Source organism: Homo sapiens, chromosome 6, assembly GCF_000001405.40.
Source record: "Homo sapiens chromosome 6, GRCh38.p14 Primary Assembly".
Lineage (NCBI taxonomy): Eukaryota > Metazoa > Chordata > Mammalia > Primates > Hominidae > Homo > Homo sapiens.
In genome coordinates, this window is record NC_000006.12 from 163,697,873 (window position 1) to 163,717,957 (window position 20,085).

The following is a 20,085-nucleotide window of genomic DNA, read 5'->3' on the forward strand; positions in this document are numbered from 1 at the left end:
TTTTGAAGGGCAGATTGCAGCCAGATAATGAAAAGTCTTAACACGCCCTATCAGCCAGAGCCTGGTTAGGGAGCGAGGACCCACACTAGGTGTTTCAAAGAGGGACTTTTATATGGGGGGTTGATCTCATAGGCATTGCCATGAAAGGGCCAGAAGAGAACACCAAGGTAACCCTGACAGCTGCAGGTGCCACCTTGAGGGCTGGGAGAACAAGGGGAGAGATGGGGTTTTCAGCTCCTGGAACTTGGAGAGAGGGCTTTATAGAGGCGGGACTCAGGCTTCCAAAAAGGGGTCTGACCCAGCTGCTTCTAGGACTCTTAGGAACTCAGCTAGGCTGTTTCTGCGAGCATAGAAAGAAAGTGGAAGCTGGAACCTTCGGTCACTGCTGGAGTAAAGTGCCCATGCAGGGGTGATGCTGACAGGAAGCAAAGAGAAGGGAGGAACCTCTTTCTCCACCCACTTGATTTAGAGTTTCCTTCTAGTGTCTTCTAGTTACTTGGCAGAACCTAATGGAGGCAGCTGGCAAGGGGGCCTGGGAAGTGTGGTATACAGAGCCACAGCCCAGTGTCACAGAAGGGTTTACAAGGGTGCATTTGGAGCTGAGAGCCAATAGCAAAGTAACCAGGCTCCTGGTGATAGGAAAGCTTGAGAAACCTATTTTGTAGGAAATGGGATTTATCAGCTGTTTTAAGCAAGGGTGAGCCATGAGCTTGGCACAGATGCAGAGGTCACTTTGGTTGAGGGATGAGACCCTAAGGTAGGGAGGCTAGTTAGGAAGCCATGGCAGGTTGCATTTTCCAGCACCCACTATCTCCCATCCCGTCCATTCTTCTTCCATTGTAACTTTGTCACTTCTCCAATTGAAAGGTGACATCTATTCTCCCTCCCCTTGAATTGGGCAGATTTATGACTAGAGTGGAAGAGATGCTGTGGGGCTTACGTGATTCGGCAGTGAAAGGCTCTATACCTTTTTCTGAGTGTTCCTTAAGTTTCTCACTTTCAGAACCAGCCACTGAGCTGGGAGGAAGCCGAAGTAGCCATAGAAAAGACTAGGTCTGGTGTTCCATCTGATAGCCAGGGTCAATCTTCAATAAAAATTAAAAAAAAATTAATATAGCACATAATGAGTTTACTTCTGGATGGGTGGTATTATGAGGTGTATGTGATGGGAATTCTGTTAAGTGTTTGGGGACACGGGTCTGGAGCTCAATGGAGAGGCAAGGTGTGAATATGGGGGTCATCGTGGACAGAAGTCAAATGAGCTCTCCTTGGAAAGAAGAGTAGAATGAGGAGAAAGGGAGTAAGGACAGAACTGTGGGGGAATCTGACATTGAAAAAGGCAAGGGAGAAGCAGAGAATTAAGAGGAGAACCAGAAAGTTATCTTGCTGAAATCACTGATGAAGAGAATTTCAGAAAGGATGGAGTTGTGGTGCCAAATTCTGCAAACAAGTGGCTAGAAGAACTGGAAAGAGGTCATGTGTTAGCTTCCCAGGGCTGCTGTAAAAAGTACCACAAAATGGGTGGCTTAGAGCAACAATAATTTGTTTTCTCATCGATATGGAGGCTAGAAGTCTGCAATCAAAGTGTTGGCAGGGCCTTGTTCCCTCTGAAGGCTCTTAGGAAGAATTTGTCCTTGCCTCCCTAGCTTCTGGTGGTGACATCAGACCTTGGTGTTCCTTGGCTTGTAGATGCGTCACTCCAGTCACTGCCTCCATTGTCCATGGTGGTCTCCCTGTGTGTTTTGCAGTCTCTTCTTTTTTTATAAAAACACCAGTCAGATTAGATTAGGGCCGCCCTGATGACCTCATATTAACTTGATGACATCTGCAAAGACCCTAATTCCAGATAACCTCAAGTTCACAGGCTTGGGGTGGATGTTAATGTTTGGGAGACACTCTTTAGCCCAGTACAGGCCGTCTTTGGAGATGGTTACGGAGAGAGTGGTCTCCATGAGTGGTGTGGGCAGATGTAGGTAGCATTGATGAGAGGGGTAAGAGATGGAGCACATGGACAGCTCTTTGAAGCACCTGGCCAGGGGAGAGGAGAGTGGAGGTGGCGTGCTAGAGAGACAGGTAGAGGTTTTTCTTTTTTTCCTTCTGGATGGGAGCAACTGGGGCAAGTTTATAGGCTGGGGCAAGCATCCAGTTGACAGAGAAAGAATCACGGTTTGAGTTAGGAGAACGACAGTAGGTGGAGCCGGGTCTGGCAGAGGAAGGATATTGTGGGATCCCACTCAAGGTTGGAGTTCATGCAGAAGGAGGAGGACCCACAGCCCTGGATGGAGACGTCAGCCTGAGTGCCATGCAGCCACAGACCCAGGAGCAGATGGAGCCGGACGGGCTGCAGTCATAAAGGAGCTGCCCTTTTTTGCTTCTCCATGGTCTAGGTCTGTTTCATTGTTCTCTTATTTTTGAAGGTAGCTATGAAAACATATTCCTGCCATCTGGCTCTTCAAAGGCATTGTAGGTTGCTGGCTTGCTCCAGAGGCCACGATGAAGCAGTCAGTACCACCTCCAGGGCTGGGGTCAGCTCTGCTAACAATAGGCACCCCCGGTTCCTGTGGGAGGCACTTCCCTGCACACAGAGAAGAATTGGGGAAAAAGATGGAGAGGACAAGGCTGAGGCCCCACAACACCGTGAAATGAGTTGACTAATGTCAGGCCCAGAGCTTTGTTTATTTTGGGGAGGGGTCGTGAATTCAGAGTCCTTTTGAGAGGGAGTGGAGGAATTTCACATGAGTAACCATTGGCATGGATCATTTCTGTGCTCTGAGCCCCCTGAGGTTTCCCATGAAGCACGATTTCTGTTGATTTTTCTTTCAGGATGGTGGCGTTGGAGGGTTCTGAGGGAGTCAGTTTTCTCAAGCCTTCTGAATTCTGAACTTGTGGAAAAAGATACAGAGAATTCAGAGAGGTGTCAAATTTGCTCTTGGCTGGAAAAACTGGATCCAACGGCTTGTTTGTGAAGCCCAAATGAGCGCCCTACTCCCTTTCTCCTGAGTTGAACTTCCCGGCTGAGCCTGTGGGCCCAGCAGATGGGCAGGGCCTGCTCTTCAGGGTGATGTGGCCCGAGGGGACAGGCAGCTCGAGAGAAAGCCTAGGAGAGCCGCTTCCCCAACTCCCAGAGGAATGAGACCATGGTTGTGGGATGCGTATTGTCCCATCTCGTGCGAATCTTCTTTACTGTCCTCAGGAAAAGCCGACAAGAGATGAGAAAAGGCTGCTGCTTCTTCCTCCACCCTCCTGAGAGGGCGACAGTGTTGGTGGACATTCTGATCTCCTGGGCTGGCAGGGAGGTAGGAGAGGGTGCTCTCCTTGCAAACACTTAGTGAGTACACGTCATGAGATAGTTTCCATGGGGCAGCTTATTGCTCTAGATAATATCAGTGACCTGTGCAAGACTTCATCTTCTTGGGAGAAAGTACAACAGAGAGGGAGAACCCCTGGGGTGCAGAGCCAGACAGCTGCTTTCCTTTTCTGGGTTTGCTGTATCATGGGCAGTGGGGTCTTCGGCCATTTCCTCAAACCTCCCTGGGGCCACAGATCCACAGTCTTTAAAACAAAGGTGAGAGAACCTTGTTTAGGAAACATATATGACTAAAGGCTCACTAGGTTAAGCAGGACAGGCTGAAAAACTGACAGTGGTTCTGCAAACTGAGCAGAGATTGGGCTGCTGAGGGCCTGTGGCTCAGTGCCCTCTGCAGTGGATACAGCCGTGGGAGTGGTCCACTCTCCTGTGTGTGCTTCTTACAGGTGGGGGGAATAATTGCCCCAAACCCTCACTGCAGGGTGCTCGTATTTCCTTGATTCTCCTGACCCGTACTGGACTCAAATATTTTTCCCTTACACGTCCCAGATTTTAGTCTGGGAAATATCTTAATGATTTCTATAGCCAAAGGTAAGGTGAGCTTATGGTAAGAATAGGGATTTCTTAGGAGAAGAGGCTGCCTTGGAGAGTCTCCCTACTCCTGGAGAATTAATTAGCTGAAGCCCATCTCCTCACTCTTCTGTGAATACATAGTGTTTATCCGCTCCTGTCTGTGAGCTCATGTTGATTTCTTTGTCTGAAGTGGCTTCCTTCCTCTCCACTTGTCTCCTCCCAGCCTGACATTACAAGTGCACATTCTGCCTCACCCACAAAGTTGCACTTGATGATTCCAGCACTCCACGATAGCTCCTCTACTTCTCCAATCTCCTAAAGCACTTATAATCTGTACCGTGTAATTTAGAAATTCATTATATCCCGTCTTATTTCATTCTCTAAGTGTTCATTGTGTTAGTCTTGTCTTTTGTTGAATATAACATTTTTTGAGAGCAAGGTCTGTCTTCCCCAGTGTGTGGACTTCTTGTGTTTCCACAGCTGGGATCTACTTCCCAACCTTGAGGAGCATATAATCTGGTAGAGGGTGAACCTATGAATTTATCACTTGACCGAATATGGTAAAACTGTTAGGCAATTGTGAGCCATCCACCATGGGAATTTGGGAGGAAGGAGACTGACTTTAGGCTGGGGGGGTTAGGTCCATACCTCCTCAGAGAGGAAAACAGCAGTGCAGTGGTGGCAATAGTGCTGACTTTTAAAGGCTGAGAGGGATGTTGAGTGAGAAAAAGAAGTTATTCTATGGAGAAGAAATGGCATGTGTAAAGATCTGGGGCATATATTTGGAGAATAGTGAGTAATGTATGTTGGCTGCTGAATAGTTTACATTTGGTAGGAGGTAGGGCTGGATATGATCAGAGCTGCACTTTGGGAAATTAGTATGACATGAGGTTTAGAACATCCTGGAGGTAGAGATACTACTTACAAAGCAACTACAACAGCCCAGGTAAGAGAGAGAATGGCTTAAAGTAGGTGGTAGAAGTGAAAATAGAAAGGGACAAATGGTAGCCATTTTCGAAAGCGGAGTTGAGAAAATGATAAGTTCAGTGTGCAGTGGAAGCCGAGAGGAGTTTCAAGAAGGGCAGAGGGGTGGGGTGGGGGGAGGTAAGTGAACTGTGTCTATTGCTGCAGAAAGGGTAAGAAATTTGCATCTGGTTGTTAGTTGTTAGGTGGTTAGTAGCAGGTCATACCTTGGTGGAACCATATGCAGATATGAACACAAAGAAGGTGATAACAATTTCCACTTGACCTTTGGAGTGCTCATCTCATCTCATTTGCTGTGAAATTTCATGTCATAATTGTTATTTGATGTGTGAGAAGTGACTTCTGTAATTAGTGTCTTAAAGTATCATCTTTTTATGTCTCACAATTTTGTGGATCAGGAATTTGGGCAGGCACTGGCCCACGATTATTCTGCTTCACATAGAGTTTGACAGGGATCACTTTGTGGTCATTGGCAAGTGGGCTGGTCCAGAGGGTTCAAGATGGCTTTACGCATGCCCTTGCAGCTGTGGAAGAGTCTCCTGGGAGGCTGAGCTCGTGTGGGCCCCTCCCCTTCTCAGTACACACCAATTCCCTGGAGCCACACAGAACTTTCTTTAACTTTAGCTCTTTGGGAGGCTGTCTGGAGCCATGGAAGCCATCTTTTTAGTAGAGAAGCTCTTTGAGGCATGCCTTGAACGTCCCTTGCAGGACTTTCGTCTGTCTGAAATGACCTGTGAGACACCACCTTAGACCTTCTGAAGACCTAACAAAGAATCTTGCAGTAACATCTTGGGTTTGATCTTTGCCGTGGAACCAGTTTTTCCTTTGAGAATCTTTTGCTGGGAGAGACTAAGGATAAGAAAGTTTTATTTTCAAACCTAGCAAGTCCTGGCTCCTTTATATTTCTTCTACATTCTGTTTATAAAAACTAACAGTTCCTTTTTTGGTTCATCTTTGTTTTGAATTTTATCATTGACAACCAGGAGATGAGTTCTGTATGCCACCTGGGAAGCTCCTAGGCCTAATTCATGAATTCATAGCTGTACCTTCTGTTTTCCATGTTCGTCAAGGGATGGGTTCATTGAACTGTTTGCCATCACATAACATGGGCTATCTCTACTCCAGTCTCTAATAACAATTTCTCACTGTCCCTCCTTCCCCATTAACAGATGTCTTGAGGCCTTCCAGACCTTGCTCCACCTCCACCACCAGGTCTCCAGTCCTGAGCCACATGCTGCCATTTTTGTCTCAGAAGCACCCCTCTTCCAGGTAACAAGTGTTTTTTTTTCTGGTAACCTATTGCTGCATAACTACCCCAAAAGTCAGTGACTGAAAGCACATGCAATTTGACTATGTTTTGTCATTTGGGAAGTGAGGAATTTGAACAAGAGTTCATGTTGTATTAACTGAGGTCACCTAGTGCTGGGGACTGAACATTTGTGTCCCCTCAAAATTCATACCTTTGAAATCCTCACTGCCAATGTGATGGTGTTAGGAGGTGGGGTATTTGGGAGGTGATTAGGTCATGGGGATGGAGCCCTCATGAATAGGATTACTTCCTTATAAGGAGAGACACAAGTGCTAGCTCTCCCTTTCTGCTTTCTGCCCCTGCGACGATACAATGAGAAGGTACCCATCTGCAAACCAGGAAGTGAGTCCTTACCAGACACCAAATCTGCTGGTGCTTGGATCTTGGACTTCCCAGCTCCCAGAACTGTGAGAAATAAATGTTTGTTGGTTAAGCCAACCTGTCTGTGGTCTTCTGTTTTAGCAGCATGAATGGGCTCAGACACCTGAAATTTTTCTGCTAGTAGCTGGGCTGGCCTGGGGGTTCAAGAAGGCTTCTGTCAGAGGCCCAGCACTCTGGTAGGGATAGGAAGCCTGGGCTCAGCTGATACCTCAGCTTCCCCATGTCATCTCAGGGCCTCCCCATAGCCTCTAAGGCGGGACTGTCAGATCTCTTACCTGGCAGCACAGGGCTCCAGGAGACCAAGGTGGAAGCTGCCTGTCCTTTTGAAGCCTGTGGACTGGCCTGCAGTCACTTCACCATACCCTGTTAGTCAAAGCTGAATAGTCACAGAGGAAGTCCATAAAATGCACTCTAACTAGACTACAAAGCCCCCTCTCAGCTGTCATTTCTCTAGGATAATCAACCTCTGTGCTTCACTCAGTGAGTTAAGAGCAATTTACAAAATGCCTGCTATGTGTTAAACACTGACAAAATATATATTTGCTGATAATTTTTATGATTGGTCAACTTGAATGATGAGTTATATAGAAGACTAAAGAGATTAGTCTCCTTCTCTTTTGTCCCTCAAAAGCTTAAACTTACTATATCACTACCTAGAAAAATGCCTACACCCAGCAGTCTGTATCTTGTCAATTTTTTCTTTCTTTCTTTTTTTTTTTGAGACAGATTCTCACTCTGTCGCCCAGGCTGGAGTGCGGTGGTGCACTCTCGACTCACTGCAACCTCTGCCTCCTGGAGTGATTCTCATGCCTCAGCTTCCCGAGTAGCTGAGAACCATGCCTGGATAATTTCTGTATTTTTAGTAGAGGCGGGGTTTCACCATATTGGCTAGGTTGGTCTCGAACTCCTGGCCTCAAGTGATCCACCTGCCTCAGCCTCCCCAAGTGTGGGGATGACAGGCGTGAGCCACCGCACCTGGCCAGCAATTTTTTCTTTCTCTCGTGTCTTTATAATATTTAAAGTACCAGTCAAAAGTACCTGGTAAACATAGTGATGAGTAATTGGGATATAATTACTGGGCCTCAGACTAGCCCAGAATTCCTGTGGGAGGGGAAATAGTTTCCCCTTAATAGGGAAGCGCATCAAAGAACACGTGGCCATCTTTAATCTATAGGAGCTCATCATTCAAGTTGATCAGTCATAAAAATTATCAGCAAGTTCATTTTGCCAGTGTTTAGCACATAGAAGGCATTTTGTAAGTACCTCTGAACTTACCAAGTGAAGCACACGAATGGATTCTCCAAGAGCAATGACAGAGCTTAGAGGGGGCTTTGTAGTCTAGTTAGAATCATGGCATTTTATGGACTTCCTCTGTGAATTTGTGTAACTCTCCCAATCTCACTCGGCCTCAGTTTTATTTGTAAAACGTAATAAATATTCCATTATGTATCATGTAAAATGATTCTATTATGTACCACATAAAAATCTTCAACAAAATAGAGACTGTGTAGACTGTAAATGTTTAATATTTAATATATCTGTAGTGATTAAGCGAAGAGCTTTGATCTTAGCTCCACCACTGACTTGCACGTGTCACCTTGGTCAGTCCACTCTTTAGTCCCTTTGAGCCCCGTTTCCGTTGACTGGAATATTGGTGTTGCGGTTCCTCTTTCATGTAGTACATGAAGCACAGTAGACTCAGTGCGTGGTGCTGTTATTTTTGTTGTAGTTGTTACTATTTTGTGCTCTGAGACTAGAACTCGAGGCTAAAATTTGCATGCACCACACTTTGGATTTGCGTGGGTGAGTCAGTGCTGTCCTAAGTGGGGGGTCATCCATTAGAGGCATTCTGCTGTGGCAGGAGCAGCTTCAGAAACACGGCAGGCTAAGGACAATAGTTAGAAAATGTTATCCCAAATCAAGTCTGTTTGCTGCCATGTGTCAGCAAATCTCACGATGAAAAATACCCACATTTAAACATGATTTCTTCCATAGTCATTTGATTTCTAATGAGACAGCTTGTTACTATCTGTTAAGCACTGGATTTTGCAGTTATGTCAGAAGTCCATGTCAGTGACATTAGTTAATCCTCAGTGGATTTGCCTTTAGTAATCAATTGGCATTTAATTAACATGCAAAAACTTCCCTGTGAAACCTAAATTCAATGTGTAGTAAGTCTCTTTGAGATAAGTTAGGGATGTTGTCAGGACATTTCATAGAGCATAGGCCTCCATGCTCTTATTATTAACTTGAATTCCAGAGTTTTGAATATGCACATGAAGACACCAAGTGAGGACTTCGGCGAAGGGCGTAGAGGTATTTTGGTGTGATCCTTAATGTCAGAGTCTCATCTCCCACGTGTCCTTCTCTTATTAATTCTCAAAACACTGAGCTAAGCAGCCAGTTCTCAAAGTGGGCCCTAAGCTAGCAGCATCTATAGCACCTGTTAGAACTGCAGGCTCTTGGGCCCCTCCCAGACCCAGTGAGTCAGACACTCTGGCGGTGCCCCACACCAGTCTGGATGTTCACAAGCCTCCAGGCGAGTCTGATCCTTGCAGTTTAAGACCAAGGAACTAGGGTCTGGTATCAGGATAGGGGATCCAATGAATACAAACCATCTCTCAGAAGCTTAAATTCATTAAGCACCACCTAGAAAAATGTCTACACCCAGAAAGCTGGATCTATTTTTTTCTTTTGTGTCTTTATTATATTTAAAGTATCAGTCAAAAATACCTGGTTCCCATAGTGATGAGCAATTAGGATATAAATGCATGGGTATGGATATAAATTCTAAAATCCTTGCAGGAGTTTAATATTTGCTTTACATTTAATAGGAAAAGAATGCCGTTGTTTTCTGCCTGGGTTGCATTTTTTTCCTTTCCTTTTACAAATTGGTTTAGCCACATCCTGTACTTTATTTGCTCCTCTCTCCCATAACTCTAGAATTAGGGTACATTAGAAGCTATCCGTAAACTCCAGTGAGGACATGTGATAAATTTAAGCTGGAGCATTTAAAACGAGCTGGGAGAGTAGAGAGAGAAGTAAAAGCAGCCATTTGTGATGTGGGTGGCAGTTTTTAGAAAGTGTCTGTGGAGGGCTAGTGGCTTGGCATGAGGAAAGAGAGGCGTTCCTCAGTGTTGTCCACAGAACAGACACTCCTGTGACAGATGTGATCTTCAGGCAAAGTGGTGCTCGTGCACAGGCTTACGTTAGCACACCTGCTGGTGCAGAATGGTAGGAGAAATATTTCCCCAAAGGACAGAATGCGGATGGCTGGACAGAAACCACTGGGGGAAGGTTCCTGGGAGGAATTCCAGAATGTTTTCTCTGGCAAATAGGACAGAGGAGGCAGAAAAGCAAACCGGATCTCACTCCAAGTCTTTATGGACACAGATGGAAAGGAGAGCAGGAAGAAATCACAGGTCACACGGTGGGAGACACGGTGTAGCTGAGGGTAACCTAGTCGTGTTTAGGTGTGACAAATGACTTGCACTGTTTGCCAGACAACAGTGCCCCCCCATCCCCCACGGGGGTGTAATTCCACTAGTGACACTGATTCAGTTTCCAAAAGAAGCAAAACTCTTCTGCTATAAGATTCTTGATTTGTAAGAGTTTCCCCAGCTCAGTGCTTCCCCTTAGCTTTTTCCTTTTTCATCTCTAAGAGGTTATCACTTCTCAAAAACAAGAGTGCTTTGCCACTTCTCTAGTAGCAAGGTATGAAAACATGCTCTAAAATACTTACTTCCTCCAGCTGCACTGCTGCAGGCGGCCGCCTGAGGGATGGAGATGTTCTGGGCTCAGGGTGGACGGGCCTCTAGACAGAGCTATGGACCCTTCTCCAAAGCTGTGCACGAGGGACGTAGATTGGCATAAGATGCTACACAGAAAACCTGTCGTCTAGATTATTCACGTGGTGGAAAACCTCCATTGGGGCATATTACCATAGAAGGGAAAAGGGTCTGTTCTCTCCACCACAAGCAATGGAGAATGTCCCATATCAAAGATAAGTTTGCAGCCAAGGTGGCCTTCATTGGTAACAGGTTCCATAATTGGCAATGATAGGTATTTTCCTTGCCTCGAAACACAGTCAAGAGGGGAGAGTGTGAGAAGCCAGGGACTTAGGACAGGAGGTGAGGTGATGAGTCATTTTGGTTTCTCAGAGCTGACCTCTGTTGTATTTTTATTTGGGGGTTCAGTCTCTGGCTTGAGGGCTCTTCAGAAAGGAGAGCTTACTTTTGTCACGGAAGGAGGGATGGAGACCTCACCCTTTTGCATGGCCAGCTGGAGCCCCAGGTGTCGCGTGTCCAGCTCGTGGGTGGCATGATGTCATGTTTGTTGACCACGTTGGACCTCATTCTGTCCCGAGAACTTAACTGGGCTAGGAGTTGTGAAACCAGATTTCTTGTTATTTGCTTAGACTTGCTTTTTTTTTTTTTTCCCCATATCCACAAAATGAGAATCCTGGGCTTTTAGTATAATAAGGATTGAAAAATGATTATAAAATACAAGGCAAAAAGATCCATGCTATTTAAATGTTTACTATTATTTTGAGATTCATTTTATGTGCCATACTGCTTTACAAATAGTCTGTAATATTTTAATACAGCACTTTATCTTCGTAATCAAATCTTGAGAAGGCCCCCTATAGCTAATCTTTCTCAAAATCGGCTTAATTTATTAGTGGATAACTATACTTAGGCCTCTTTCTAGAACCTTATGAAGTTTGACATGCACTATTTTTAGACATTACGGGTTCTCTTACTGAGACGCTCCAAAGGGAACAGTGGGGGCAGATGTCCTCCAGGAACCTTGGCAATAAATCCCCCTGGGTGCATGACCTGGGGTCACCAAAACTGCCTGCTACCCAGCAGCAGCAGAAGGGAGACCCAGGTTGGCAGCTGGAGTGACTGACAGTGATTTCCTTTCTGTTCAGTGATGAGCCCACCATGAAGAAAGGGCACGAATCTGCTTCCTCTCTCCCTGTCCTGGGAACGGTGCCTGCCCGTGATGGTATCCTCAGGCCCCCCTCTCTGCGCCAGCAAGATGTCCCAGGGGACGTCTGTGCATTCAGCCAGGTGACCACTAGAATAAAATGTTCTCTAGGACCACCTAAGAGGTAACCCTATATTGGAGATACTGAGGAGAGAGGCCGGGGTGGCTGATAGGGTGGGGAGGCACCATCTGTCTGAGTGCACCCTCCCCTGAGACCCTCAGGGTGTCCTGGGGAGACCAGCAGGTTGGAAGTCCTACGCTTTGAAATTTTTAATTAAACAGGAACCTTTGAAGGAAGCTTTTGATTGTTAGTAACATCCTGACTTGCTCCCCCCATGTGACAGGCTCCCCTTTGTGTGTGGCCCCTCCTGAGTCCACATCCTTCATAAGGAGCGGCTTTACCTCCCTTCCTGTAGGAGAGGAAGCCAGGGCTGTGGCCCAGGGAGGGAGGGGAGGCAGCCACTTCTCTCTTCAGTGCAGTTCATTCCAGTTTGGCTCTGACTGTGGCCAAGCAGGGAAGGGGTGCAGGATGGAAGGCAGCAGCGTGTACTTAGGCAGCTCAGTCAATGGAGCCCCCACGTCTCATCCCCTGCCAACCCTGGGCTCTTCCTGGCTGGATCTGGGCAGCCCAGGGCAGAACCTAGAGTCCAGGGCCACTGGTTCTCCTTGCCAGGTCCCAGGACCCAGTCCTGTTGAAATAACAGAGTTGATGGGAATGCTCTTTGCTGGGCACGAAGCACAGGCTTTAAAGGGCTGCCCATTCGCCACCACACTAGATACTCCCTGAAGGCTATGGGCACTTCCTAGCTCCTCAGCACACCCACAAACAGACACTAGAGGTTAGGGAAGGGCGATGCCACTTTCAACAGGCTGTTGACACTTAGCAGCATTTTGTAGACCAGCCTAAATCAGTGGTTCCTGAGCATCCTTATCCTCTCAGAAAGCTGATTTTGAGCCAGATTAGCTATAAGGGCCCTCTCCTTTCAATATTTGATTATGAATATAAAATGTCTTCCTAAAATCTTATAGAATGTTCATAAACTAGCATGGCACGTAAAATGAAGCCAAAATAATGCTCATAGTAAACCTTGTACTTAAATAGCTCAGATTTTTTTTCTTGAATTTTGTAATGATTTTCCAATGCTGCTTATGTAACGGCCCAACATTCGTGCTCATAGATATGGGAAGAAAGTCAGCAAGACTAGGTTTTGGAGACTAGTCTAAACCCAAGTGTGGATCTGGGTCATCTGGAAATCAACAGGCAAAATCCTTGGCTGCACTCAGGCCTGTAGCTGCAGACTCTCAGCCCAAGAGCTTGTGTGTTTGACAAGCACCTCGTGTCACTCACAGGCGTCCTGCTCTGCATCGATATGGAGGAGCACTGGAGATTAGAAACCTCTGGAAAGAGAGGAGATTGCAGTGAAGCCCCGGGGTCCTGGGTGTAGCCAAGGAGGTGCTTCATGATTTTTACTTACTTCCTCATCTCTCCACTCCTGGTTACTTTTTGGACTTCCTATTCCATTTCCTGCTTTCATAGAAGCCTAATTTTTAATATTTAAGTTTCAGTCAGCCGAAGAAAGGCAATCTGTCTTCTCTTTCACACAGTTTATGTCTTGAAGGATTTCTCTAATCCATTCCAGCAGTCGGTTAAGGGAAAGTTTTATTTAACCCCTGCATCCATGCCTACAATTGCTACTTGCCAACATTTCATTACTTCTTGTAGAATGTAAGTGCCTGTTTCTAAAAATGAAAACTTATAGAGATCAGAGCCCTTCATGATACCAGCTCTCTGCTGTGCTTGTGGCCACCCGATGTTGGATACTGGGTGATACTGCAGAGCAACGGAGCATCTGTGGGGAGGTCCAGAATCGAGAATGGTCTGATGAACAAAATATGCCACCAGTCTTGTTTGCAAGGGGGCAGCACGTGATGGAGGAAACAAGGTCCTTTTCAGTTCTTAAAGTCTTCACTGACAGGTCACAGAAGTATAGGGTCCCTTTTGCCTTTTCCTTCTTGGCGATACTTAAGTCTGGCTCAGATGCTTTTGTGTGTTCTTTTAGAAACTATCAACCTACTGCACACAAAATATGTGTACTTGGATGGTGTTTGATACGGTGTGGATGCTCAGGGTAAAAAAGAAAAAATAGCCATAACCAATTCTGGAAAGGAAGGAATGAAGAAAAAGGTTGTAACCTGCTGGGCGGGTCTAGAACACTCCACACCCATCCCCCAGAATGAAATCAGCTTTCCAAGTCATCTGTTTGGGCAGGAGTTTCCAGCCAGTTAGAACTCTCTGTCCTCCCTTCCAGTCTTTTAGGCAACGCTGTATTTTGAAAGCCAGATGAGGAAGGCAGATGTTTTTCCCATCTCCACCCACATCAAGACTGTTGTTTGCCAAATAAACTGGGTTGGGACACAAATCCTGCAGAAGGGCTGCCACTGGGGGCACTGGAGGCTTCTAGCCCGGGTCAGCCCTGCCAGGACCATGGGTGGCGCACCTGTTGTCAATTAACTGTCCAGGCTGAACTTGGGAACGAAGGCCAGAACAGGCGTGGGAGGCTGGTCCTCCAGCTAAACTTTGACTTCAAGCTCAAGGAAGGGTTTGAAAGGGTGGGAAGAAAAATATTGCACATTGGTTGGGTGATCAATATTTATTAAATTTAGAGCCATTTATACTTGCCAGTTCTGCGTTTTGTAGTGTTTTTGAAGCAAACGCAACTCATTTTCTGGCAGAGAACTGATGCTTAGAATTAGAAAAACAAAGTATTAAGTAGAACTGGCATAAGACCCCATCGACGAGGGATGGATTTCAAAACTTCTCAGCCAGCCGTCCCTCCGTGCACATTATGAGTCTGGAAACCCAGGGATCCCATGTGAGCGCGCTAGGGAAGTGGAGCGTTGCAGGCCTCCCGAAACACAGCTGCCCACTGCCTGCCCACATCCTCCTTGGCAGCTTGGGGTGAGCTGCCGCTGAGAAGCTACGCTGGCGCTGAATTTCCTCTTTTCAGCTGCGTACAAAGATAGGCCCTTGAATTGTGGCATCACAGCACGGTGCTCCAGCCCATGTGTTGGCCTCTGTTCCCCAGGGAGTGTTGGAGGGGAGCGTGCTGATCCAGCGTCCAGCTCTTCCGGGAGTGGGCTGGCTGCTCTGAGGGTGGCTGTGGGTGAAAGCCTCCCGGGGTCTGCTTCTGGGGGAAAATGAGGCTGGCAGTGGCCTGACCACTCGGTTTTCCAGCCACCCAAATTCAGTTGCTCTCTGAGCTCTTACTGTACACGGAGCTGAAATATTGTGCAGGAAGCAATGAATCAGACCCTTTGCCTGCAGGAGCCTACCCTCTGGTGGAGGACACCCACCAGCATGAGGATAAACGCAGAACTGGGACAGCGTGAGCGTGAGAGGCACAGGCAGAGCAATGCATGCTGGGTGTGGACCAGGAGAGGAAAAGCCACTTTTTTGCTTTTTTATTCAGGAGGACAAATAGCAGGAGAGGCTTGTTCGGTATTTTTCAGCTTATAGGCCCCCCGACCCCCTTCCTCATCTCTTTCTTGCAGGGCCTACAGCTATTTGGTGTTAAAAACTGAATTTTGGACAGATAAAAATGCCAGTGTTTTCCTGGTCTGCCCGGCTCTGGCTGCTCCATCTTGGCCACGGTGGCATGGCTGGGGTTGGAAAGGGGAACCTGGGGGCCTGCAGGGAGCCAGGCACAGTCAAGCGCAAGCTCCACCTCTCTGTTCCTCCCCTCCACACACTGTCCAGGGCCATGGTCACCTGGTGCTGGCTCCAGCGAGTCCTGACCCCAGCTCTGGCTCAGGGCTTCCCCTGGAGACTTCAGCAAGTCTCCCCGAAGCCCTGCGTGCCTTTCCCACCAGGGAATCCCTCCAGCCTCAGGTTTCTGTGGGCTCCTCCCACGCAGGAGAGGGTGCCTGGAAAGTGGACATGTCCATTTTCAGTCCCCCTACCGTCTCCCCTCCTCCCCCCAACTCCTCCCCTCCCCCCACTCCTTCCCATTCCCTACCCTCTCCTCCCCACCCCACCCTCTTCTCCTGCCCCCCACCCTCTCCTCCCTACCCCCACCTTCTCCTCTCCCTCACCCACCCTCTCCTCGCCCCCAACCCTCTCCTCCTCATTCTCCACTCACCCCCATCTCTTTGGTGAGGCTGTAGAGTGACTTAGGTTATCCCAGAGTGACCTGAATGTTAAAGAAGGTGCTCCCTGTCTTTCCACATTGCTCCCCTTTCCTTTCCCCTCCTTTCCCATCTCTTAGTCCCCCTTACCTCCCACTTCCCTCCCTTCTTCTCCCTCCACGCTGCCCCTCACCCTGTTCTCTTCAGGCTGTCTGGCTGCCTGCGAGGGTCTCCCTGGGCACCCAGCTCCTCCACAGGAGGGTCCCAGGCCAGGCCTGCAGGGAGGCTGGGGCAGGTTCTCAGCTTGGCCTCGGGCTGACCCCACTTCTCAGATAGAGAAGCCCATATTTAGGGTATAATGGAGGAGTACGGGGAAAGGAATTAAGACACTGATGTGGGGATGGGAGGGCAGAGGGGAATGTCGGGGGGACAGCGGGGAGGGGAGGTTGATTACAGCCTCTCAGGATGATGTGGATGGGTGGGAGGGAGCAGCGACCATGGAGGCAGAGACAGTTGGGGGCACCTTAGAGGGAGGCGCAGAGGGGTGGTGACCTTGTCCCCGGAGGGACCTCCTCCTGGGCTCCATGCTCAAGAGTTGAGGTGGTGTGGGCTGAGGAGGCCAGAGGTCAAATGCATGGGAATCAGAAGTCTGGCTCCAGAGAATGAGAGCAGCGAGCCAGTAGGGCCAGGCTGCTTTAGGACCAAGGTGGCAGCCAGAGACAGTGGCAGTGGAGAGCCGGGAGGAGACTGACTCTAACAAGGGGAGGTTAGGAATTTCATCAGGGGCCAAATGGTTCGAATGTTTGTGTCACTCAAAAGTCCCAAGGGGATGGTCTTAGGAGGTGGGGCCCTTGGGAGGCGATGACGTCATAATGTGAAGCCCTTGTGAATGGGATTCCTGCCCTCGAAATGGAGGCCCGGAGAGCTCCCTCGCTCCTTCCACCACATGAGGACATAACCGGAAGGCACAGGCTGTGAATCAGGGAGCCCTCCCCAGACACAGGATCGCCTGGCACCTTGATCTTGGACTTCCCAGCCTCCAGAGTGTGAGGAATAAGCCGCCGGGTCTAAGGTGTTCTGTTAGAGCTGCCCAAACCAATGAAGCCAGGAGCCCTGGATTACAGCCTCTCCCTCCCCACCTGCCAGGGCACCCCTCTCTCTAACTTACCTGAACATGCCCCTGGGCCGCAGTGACTCTGGGGCCCCAGGAGACTCAGGAGAGGGCATGGTGGACACCCAGCAAGGCCAGCCCCCTCTTCCTTCATGAATTCTGTCACTCGCTAAGCGTAGCATTTACAGAACCATCAGAGACATTTAAGGTCCATAAAACTATGCGTTTATAGGGAGCATCTATGTGTGGAGTTAGCGTTTGCTGAAAGTCAACATGGTGTTTGTTGTCACTTTATAGGTTTTGCTTTGCAAACTTTTCCTTGGTTACTAAGCTTGCCATGTGGACAGGCCCAGCGGTGGCTGTGATCTTATGGGCATCCTGAACTGCGTCAAAGTGATTTCTAATGATGCTGTGAAAGTTAAAACAGATTAAAAGCCAGTGCACAGTGGTCTTCAATTTAGTATATGTTTACTTTACCAAGAAGATTCACAATTACAGAAAAAAAAAAAGAGTGCTACAATATTGGCGTGAGGGACCCTTGGTCACTTTGTTATTAGGCAATCACTGTTTTTGCTGCCCTCACCCAAACCTTCTGCATTTATCGAGTGCAGAAGGTTTGGGTGCCTTCTTGGTAGACTTGAGCCTTTTTTGGAGTTAAGGTCTTTGCTGGGACAGAAAGATACGGCAACAGTTGAGAATTTGGTGCTTCAGGATAGCTTGACGTCGGAAGCACTTTCAGGCACCATTCCTTCAGTTTTTGATCTCTTTAGTGAAAGATTGAATTAACTCTAATTATATTTTATCCATTGTAAATTTGCATTTGTCATTCATTGTTCTCACCTCCTAGTCTCTGCCTTGTCTCTCCCTCAGGGCAAAACTGATAAATGAAGAAGGAAACCAAGGCTCCTGCCACTGAGTGTGTGTCTCCAAAAAGCACAAAGATCTTCCAGCTGTTTACTAACGTGGTGCCTCTGTCTCCCGACCCCCCACCTGTCCCTTCAAGCATGGTCACCCACATGTGCTCAGAATTGGGCACCTAGTCAGCAGCTCCAGTGGCTTCCAGGACTCTCCTAAATTGACTTCTGACTTTTAGAAAAGGTGGAGTCCCCTTTTCTGCTGCTGCCCTGGAAGGTGCTGAAGCGGAGCTCAGACTTAGGCTGCAGGAATGAGCGAGGGGCCCCTAAGAGCCAGCTCTGGCATTTGTTGGGGAATGGGTCACTGGTCTCTAGCAGCAGGAATGGCAGTGATTCCTCAGCTCCTCTTGAGTGCTGACCAGGTGCTTGGTGCTCTTCCAGGCCCTTCATGTGAACTGGCGCCTCTCATCCTCACGTAGCACCGTGCCAGTGGTCATTTTGTTATCCTTGTTTATAAAGGTGAATGAGGCCAGGCGCAGTGGCTCACGCTTGTAATCCCAGCATTGTGGGAGGCCAAGGTGGGTGGATCACTTAAGGTCAGGAGTCCGAGACCAGCCTGGCCAACATGGTGAAACTGTCTCTACTAAAAAAAAATACTAAAAAACCTGTCTCTACTAGAAAAATATAAAAATTAGCCGGGTGTGGTGGTGCACACCTGTAATCCCAGCTACTTGGGAGGCTGAGACAGGAAGATCACTTGAGCTCGGGAGGTAGAGGTTGCAGTGAGCTGAGATTGCGCCATTGCACTCCAGGCTGGGCGACACAGAGAGACTCCGTCTCAAAAAAAAAAAAAAAGGGTGAATGAAACCTGGCACAGAAGTGACCTGCTCCAGGTCACAGAGCTGGTGAATGGTGCATCCTAGAGGTCATGGTCCTGGGGGTCCTGCTCTTAGACCCCTGCTGTGTGAGGCCTGCCCTCCTGCTTGTTGCCTCCTCTCCATTGTGGACCAGTTCCCTGTGGAAACCTCCCACTGGCTTCACATAGACTTAAGAGAAGCCCCTTCCCTTAGCCCCTGCCCCCACACCCTAGCCCTGGGCAGCCCCGTCCAGGCTCCCCACCCTCCTGCCCCAAACCTACCTTTGGAGATGGAGGGTCAGGCTGTGCTGTGCTGACAAATAACCTCCAAACCTTCACAGTTTAAAACAAAAATGTATTTTTGCTGGGACCAGAGCACAGGTCTCCTAACTCCAGGTGCAGTGTGGGCGGTCCAGAGGCTGTGCCCATGACAGGCCCTGCTGGGGCTGCCCAGGCTTTGGCTGCACCTGGGCCTTGGGCCCTTGGCAGAAGGCGGAAGGGGAAGTGGGCACCATTAGGGTTCATTGCTTAGAGTGAGTCACGTGGCCACGTCTGGCTTCCAAGAGGCAGTGCAGACAACCCTGTGATGGAAGTGGGCGGGCTGGGACCTGCTGGGGGTGTCTCTGTCACCAGATATGCTCTCACTCCTGAGGGTCCTGGTTCTGGTCACACCCTCTGTCAGGATGCAGGAACTGGTGTTTCATCCGGAGGCCAGGTAGAGGGTCCCCTCCTCTGTGACTGCCCTGACCAGACACCACGAAATAACCCCGTGATTGGCCACCATCACCTCACTCTATTCTTTCTGTCTGACATTGATTACTACCTGAAATCTTCTTTTTTTGCCTATCATTTATCTGTCAATCATCTGTTGTCTATGTATCATCTATTTATCATCTCTGTACATGTCTATCATTTATCTGTCAATCATCTGTCACATGTCATCTGTCATTTTTCTCTGTCACCTATCATCTGTCTGTTATACCATCTGTCACCTATCTGCGCATCTGTCAATCAGTCATCTATCTGTTTAATCTCTGATGGACGCTCCCTGGGACAGCCGTCTGGTCTGTTGCCCCCCACAGTGTCCCCAGGCTGGAGCCATGTCCACCACGTGGTAGGTGCTCAGTACTTACTTGCTGAATGAATATCTGACTGAGAGGCCTGTGTGTGGTTGTAACATGAAGAGGCCATGGGGCCAGGTCACAGTCAGCATTACCATCCCCTGCCTTCAGCCCTGCCTCCTGTGGGTGATGGCTGGGAGAGGCTTCTGTTTTGCGGTGGAGGCAGAGAAGCAGGGGTGGGATCTGGAGAGGGTGTAAATAGTGATTAGAAGGAATGTAGGCGTGCAGGGGAAATGAGAGCGTCTGGGTAGCTGTTCTCTCTTATTTCATGTTTGCAGGATACTTTCAGATTCCAGAAATTTTTGGTGGTGCCCTTCAAGAGTTTAAAAGTCTAAAATCACCACTCAACAAGTGAGCCTTGTACTGTTTTAGTAAAACTGTTGACCACCTGTATTCATTTCCTAGAGTTGCCATAACAAAGTACCAAAAAATGAGTGGCTTAAAACAACAGAAGCTGTGGAGGCCAGAAGTC

General features: G+C 48.2%; 1 protein-coding gene and 1 long non-coding RNA gene across 2 annotated transcripts, besides 3 other annotated features; both read right to left on the bottom strand.

Annotated features, from left to right (window-relative positions):
- Positions 6,666-6,965: an enhancer, noted in NCBI's record as "active region_25421". NCBI's record gives its function as "activates an Ori minimal core promoter by ATAC-STARR-seq in GM12878 lymphoblastoid cells {active_cell/tissue: GM12878}" and the evidence as "EXISTENCE:reporter gene assay evidence [ECO:0000049][PMID:35858748]".
- Positions 8,910-8,979: an enhancer, noted in NCBI's record as "active region_25422". NCBI's record gives its function as "activates an Ori minimal core promoter by ATAC-STARR-seq in GM12878 lymphoblastoid cells {active_cell/tissue: GM12878}" and the evidence as "EXISTENCE:reporter gene assay evidence [ECO:0000049][PMID:35858748]".
- Positions 10,462-10,581: an enhancer, noted in NCBI's record as "active region_25423". NCBI's record gives its function as "activates an Ori minimal core promoter by ATAC-STARR-seq in GM12878 lymphoblastoid cells {active_cell/tissue: GM12878}" and the evidence as "EXISTENCE:reporter gene assay evidence [ECO:0000049][PMID:35858748]".
- Positions 14,183-16,505, bottom strand: LOC124901498 (uncharacterized). Its single transcript, XM_047419664.1, has 5 exons — positions 16,195-16,505; positions 15,865-15,995; positions 15,686-15,736; positions 15,316-15,470; positions 14,183-14,825 (listed from the first exon to the last, which is right to left on the bottom strand). Exons 1-5 carry the CDS (start codon positions 16,255-16,257, stop codon positions 14,551-14,553), a joined length of 675 nt encoding a protein of 224 aa, XP_047275620.1. The 5' UTR covers positions 16,258-16,505; the 3' UTR covers positions 14,183-14,550.
- Positions 16,506-17,233: 728 nt separating this feature from the next.
- LOC105378104 (uncharacterized) lies at positions 17,234-19,070 on the bottom strand. The gene is made up of 2 exons (XR_943216.3): positions 18,775-19,070; positions 17,234-17,546 (listed from the first exon to the last, which is right to left on the bottom strand). It is a non-coding gene; the product is annotated as an uncharacterized LOC105378104 (long non-coding RNA).
- Positions 19,071-20,085: the final 1,015 nt, after the last annotated feature.

Bases quoted from the DNA above. Each gene is read 5' to 3' on its own strand.
- LOC124901498 (XM_047419664.1), bottom strand. From the start codon at position 16,257: ATGGAGCCCAGGAGGAGGTCCCTCCGGGGACAAGGTCACCACCCCTCT. The intron at 15,737-15,864 runs GTGAGGGGCAGC...TTTAACATTCAG, and splicing joins GACAGCCTGAAGAGAACAGG to GTCACTCTGGGATAACCTAA. The intron at 14,826-15,315 runs GTGACCATGGCC...ACAATATTTCAG, and splicing joins CTCGCTGGAGCCAGCACCAG to CTCCGTGTACAGTAAGAGCT.